The sequence below is a fragment of the Homo sapiens genome, chromosome 9, assembly GCF_000001405.40.
Source record: "Homo sapiens chromosome 9, GRCh38.p14 Primary Assembly".
Classification (NCBI taxonomy): domain Eukaryota; kingdom Metazoa; phylum Chordata; class Mammalia; order Primates; family Hominidae; genus Homo; species Homo sapiens.
Genome location: NC_000009.12, coordinates 13,527,576 through 13,533,448, shown reverse-complemented (window position 1 = coordinate 13,533,448; position 5,873 = coordinate 13,527,576).

The window sequence follows — 5,873 nt, the reverse complement described above, 5'->3', positions numbered from 1 at the left end:
AAGAGAAAAAATATGTGTATGGTCTCAGCATTTAACCTCTTTTCCATAAGGAATAGGTACAATTCTAGCTATAGGAATAGTAGTGTTTTTTAAATAGTGATGCCACTGTATGAAAGGGCTACTTCTGTGGAAAAGCATTGAAAACAGACCCAAAAAATCAGCTTGACTTGAAACTACAAAGGTATATGGAGGTCAAGGTGTCAATGAAGATTCTGAAAGGAGATAAGTTTCTGGAATGTTGCTTCCAAAAGATGATCCTGAAAAAGAACCTAAATGTTCTTAGGTCAGGGAGAACTGATGTTTTGTGAACTACAGCCAAAACATCAGATACCAGAATCAACCTAAAATTAATTTTTTAAATGTTGAAAATGCAATTTGGTCAAAAACTAGAATAGCAATATCCTATAAAGGCAAAATTCTAGTAATTTTTCTGGAAAGAAATATGGGAAGGTGTCAGTTTTTCTCTGGGTTTCTTCTCTTACAGTTTAGCTCCCCTCATTCCTCCAGCTCCTCTCCATTCCCCTCCTTTCTTCTGCTCTCATCTTCCCTCCCCTGTCTTGTCCTCTCCTCTAAGATTGTTTATTGAAAATGTCACTTGAATGGCTGTTGCGGAGAATTTGAAAACTCTTGAAGAAACCAAATGTCACTGGCTGCTGTTTAATAAATGCCTCTGGTTGGTCTGACTCCAAGTCCACCAACCTTAGCAACAATCAGAGACACTGTAGCCTTAATTGGGGAGATATTACTTTTGTGTGGGCGCTGGAATGCAGACAATACCTGATGTCTGGAAAGGGAAAATAAACAGAGGTAAATGACCAAGCTTATTTTGGCAGGATGTGCAAAAACACAAACTACATGCCTGGCCAATCTGATAGGGTTAGGAGAAGTCCTACAAGTTTATACAGTGACCAAAAGGGAAATAGGAACTGACACGTAGGAAACTAGAGAGGAAAGAAAGAAGGGGTGGGAAAGGTGGCAAAACATACACACTCAGCAGTGCAGAAACAAGGCTTCAATGTGTACTTATAGAACCTTGACTTGAACTACCCACGGGTCAAAAAGCTCCAGTCAGAAAGCAAACTCTTTGCTGGGGATATACTGTAATTTGGTTGAAGTCCTGTCCTATTAGAATAAGCCACAAACCATTCACAAGATTTGTAGGCAAACTCTCTTTTTTAAACTATGACTGTATTAAAAGACAAAGAAGTGAACATCGGACTCAGGGAGGAAATCTAAAAGTTCATCAGTTCAATCCATTCATTTAACAAATGAGAAAACCAAAGCTTAGAGAAGGTCATTGATTTTCCCACACCCATTTTACTAGCTGGAGCAGAACTACGCAGAGAACCTGGGAATCTTGGTTTTCAATTTAGAGTACATTCCCCTTCACATACCTTCCACTCACAATAGACCAACCGGTCTCCTTACTTCCCCTCTCCACCCCTCCTTTCTCTTCTCTTCTCCCTGTCATTTATTAAAATAGAGATTTAAGAGCATTGTCCAGGAAGCCCCACTTATTAATTCTGTGAAGTTGCTTACCATCTCATACACTCTGTCATCTCCAACAAGTGAAACTGGACCCAAATGGAATATATGCAGATAACTTGCATTTTGTGATCCTCTACCATCTTTAATCTCACACCTTATGGTAAGGAAAAGTTATCCTACAGTGGTATGACATTTTCCGTACGTGTATGTGCTATTCCGGTTTCCCTGTTTACCTCTGCATTGATATAAAAATAATGCCACAATACAGCAACAAATAATATTCACAGGACTCTTAAGTCCCAGTTTCAGGAACTTTAGTGCTTAAGCCTGCTCCTCTGCCAGGTATTTCCGGAATTCTTCAAACAACACATAGATGATGATTTAGGGAGCTGACACTTTCCACTCTCCCTCACTGATCAGTGCTGGAAAAGTTATCACTCAGCCACTCTGAAGCCATCTCAAAGCCTCCATCTTCTGTTGCTGATCTGTACAGAGACTTCTTGGGCCACTGGATTGAACCTGCAGAGGCCGCCCCACTGCTAAAGCCAACACACTCTCCCCACCTTCACCTATCTCTGCCCTGTGTTCTAATATGGAAGATCCCAAGAAGTGCTCCCTTGTTCCCTCCATGTTATTCCACAGAACATGTTTTGCTGAAACAGCTCTCTCAGTTTTTTACTCACAGAGTGACAAAAGGTATAGAGACACCATGCTGCCATTGGAATCTCCCAGTCTATTTCACTGCGATGGGTTGGGGTTGGATTAAAGTTCTCTGCTTCTAATTTTTCTTTCCTTAGGATGATTTATTTGCTAGGAGGTCTTTTTGTTCTCTCACACAACTAAGGTTCCTGGCAGACATAGCCCACAGTTCCTCAAGATATGATGGAATTCAAAGCACACAAAGATGCACCAGGGTAAGGGATAAAGGAACCATTGAAGGCTGAAATGTGGCCCCCACTCCATTCACCAAACTGTGCAGCCATGGCTGTGTCCGCCTAAGAAAGCATCTCTTTTCTAATTTACAAATGAGCACTGGCCCTATCTGAATTCTTAGATGTATGCTGCAAATGGGAACTCCTGCTATATGGAGAGCAGGGACCATAGCTTGTATTTATTTTGTATAAACCTCACCATATGGCCCAGTAGTTGGCATCAAAGCCACACTACAAGTGTTTGCTAGATGAAATCCATGAGGGGGCCAATTATTCAGACCTGTGTAAAATTCCTGCCCTTGGTAGCCTTAAAAGGCAATATAAAGGCCGGGAAAATAAAAGATTTTCTAAAGTGCAAAAATGCTGGCTTTCTCTCAAACTCTAGAATCAAACTCAATTAAACCTCATGAATTTCTTCTCTGTTTATATACTGAATGCTTGATACAGCACGGAGCTCAGAACCACATCTTGGTATCATTTATCAGACTACCTTACTACTCTAGTCATTCAGCGTTCCTGGGCCAGCACTGTATAATGTCATCTTCTGCCTTTCTCAAAATATAATAATTTCACAAGATATGGTATATTTTAGAGAATTCGATGCATCATTTTAGTGTCATTACCATTGTTACCATGAAGACACTGAGCTATGAAGAGGTCTAATGTTCAATGACTTCCCTTAGAGGAAGGCAGAATTTCAGAATACCAAGTGACCCAGCCTCAGTTTCCATTATTCCCCTAGGTCTGTGGAGCTAGATTGGCTAACTGGTGAGGAGTGTCAGAATGTTATCTTCAGCTGTTTGGTTCTAAACAGTATTTTACTCTGTGTAGTCAGCAAACCTTCAACTTTTGTCATCTTGCTTTTTACAAGTCCATACTTCACTTCCAAAAAAGCATTTCAGTTGATCATTAAAGTACATCAGTTCAGCACTTGCCCTTACTTTTCACAAAAGTCTTGGAACCCACATGCAAAGATTAAACTCTACCTCACAAAAAGTCAGACAATCCAGAGAAGAAGCTGAAGTGGTTCCCACCCTTCACACTTGCCACACCCCATCAGCCAACAATAAATCCCCTCCTGACATGAAAGTCCCTCTCCCCACTCACCCCAGAATAAATCCCCAGCTGGCAGGACGCCAGGCTGAGCAGATGTGTCTGCCACCACTTCCTGGGGTGGGGTCAGGCTGCACCAGCTTTGATCAACCAAAAGAAGGAATTTCCAGTGTCAAGAGCCCTCCACAGAGAATGCCCCAGGGTCTACTCTAAGAGGTAAAGGAACCAGTTATTAAAAAAGCAACTAGGAGCATCCCAAACAGGCGGAGCAGCAGACGACCTGTGTACCCAGAGAGGTGATGTCTCAGTCATTCTCCTTATTTCATGGACAGAAGTGAAAACGCAAATGAGCTCACCTTTCATGGCCAGAAACTCTTTCCAAGGAAAGGAAATACCATAGTGATATTGAGTTTAGTTCTCCCTATTACTTAGTCATTCTTGCAGTAAACTAGGTCATGCTGGAAAGAATATTAACCCTTACACATCTCAAAGAGATGTTATAGTAACATTCATTAGTATTTACACTTGACCAGACATGAAATAGCTCCATGAATCAGTATGCTGGCTCACAGAAGGGACCGTCACTGTTTTTCCCTGGAGTCATTTATCTCCAGACAAGCCATCGAAGTTGGGCATATCTGAGCACCTTCCTTGGAACTCTGGTTGCAAAGCTTCAGAACCTTAAAAAGTATCACTACATTACTCACTGAAGCTGAAGGAAACTTCATAGTGAAGTAAAATAAAAACATTTTGCCGGCCAGGCACGGTGGCTCACACCTGTAATCCCAGAAGTTTGGGAGGCCGAGGCAGGCAGATCATGAGGTCAGGAGATTGAGACCATCCCGGCTAACATGGTGAAACCCCATCTCTACTAAAAATACAAAAAATTAGCCGGGCGTGGTGGCGGGTGCCTGTAGTCCCAGCTACTCAGCCACTGAGCTCCAGCCTGGGTGACAGGGCGAGACTCCATCTCAAAAAAAAAAAAAAAAAAAAAAAACCCACAACCATTTTTCCCAGACAGACAAGTTTTGCTATAGCCTGCCACTGGAAATCTATCCATCAGTGAACATTGTGAATTATTCCTAGTAGAAACCCACATGGCATCTTGTTTTGGAAATGTTGTTAATCATAGTAAGTTAAGTATTGTAACAAACAGTATCAAACAAAACTCAATTATCCATGTCTATTACTTGCACACCTCACAGTCCTGTCCAGGTTAGTAGGAACGGAGTGGAGGGAATGAGGGCACTCTACCCCAAGCAGGAACCAGGTTCTTTCCCCATAGTGGCTCCACCATTAGGTTTTGGAGTTCTCTACTGAGTGCTCCTCGTCTGGCCACCATATGAGCAAAGACAGGGAACAGAGAGCATTGCTCAGAGGTAGTTGCTGTACATCACTTTCAGCCATATTCCTTTGGCCTTGTGTAATGGCAAGGGAGGCTAGAAAATGCAGTCAAGTTTTGTGTCCAGAAAACAAAGAAAATGTGTTGTTAGCAATTTCTACAGATTTAAAGTGTCTTATGGGTCAAAACTTTGGATAAGAATTTGCCCAATAAAAGAGAGGCCTTTTTCATTCTCAAGGAAGAGGTCAGCATATTCTAGTTTCAAAAAAGCAATTTACAGCTTTTTCTTGACAGCTTAGTTTTTCAGCACTGATGTTTTCAAAACACGTAGAGGGTGGAAAATCCACAAAGAAGAAAAACAGCAATCACACACACACACACACACACACACACACACACACACACACACACACACACACACAAAGACTTTACCAGAAATGTGAACTTGAGAAAAGCCCACAGTTACCTCATACATTTAACTTTTGCTGGCAGTTGAAGATCTCTGCATGTGAGGTCAAGTTTTTCTAGCACCATATTTTGTATATTTTAATGTCAAATGAGGTCTTGTTCTGTTGTTAAAGCTATTATGTTTGATTTAAAAGGCAAGAAGTTAAGGATATTACAGGGGATGGAGTGGGTATATATAGGCATTAAGATTTTTTTTAAAAAAAAAACTATCTGAAGTGATCATAATTTTACAAAGTATTAAAAAAAATTCACATTTATGAATGCTAGTGTGCTTTGGATTGGGATGTCAAACCTTCGGGGCAGGGGCAGAGTGTGAGAAATACTGTGAGCAAAAGGAATAAGGAAAAAAGTTGTTAAAAAGTTGCTGTACCTTCTGTTTCTATTTTCCCTTCTCTTTCCTTCCTTTCTCTGAGGTACAGGTCAGCAAGCCAGTCCTGGATACAGACTGCAGCAGGGAGAGGCAGAGAATGCAGCTTGATGGCAGCTCTTCAACGGCAAATTGATGAAGTAAATAATTAAATACGTTGAGGATAATGGGAGCTAAATTTTATACTGCTAGAGAAGATTTTACAAACAGGAAGAGCAGAAAG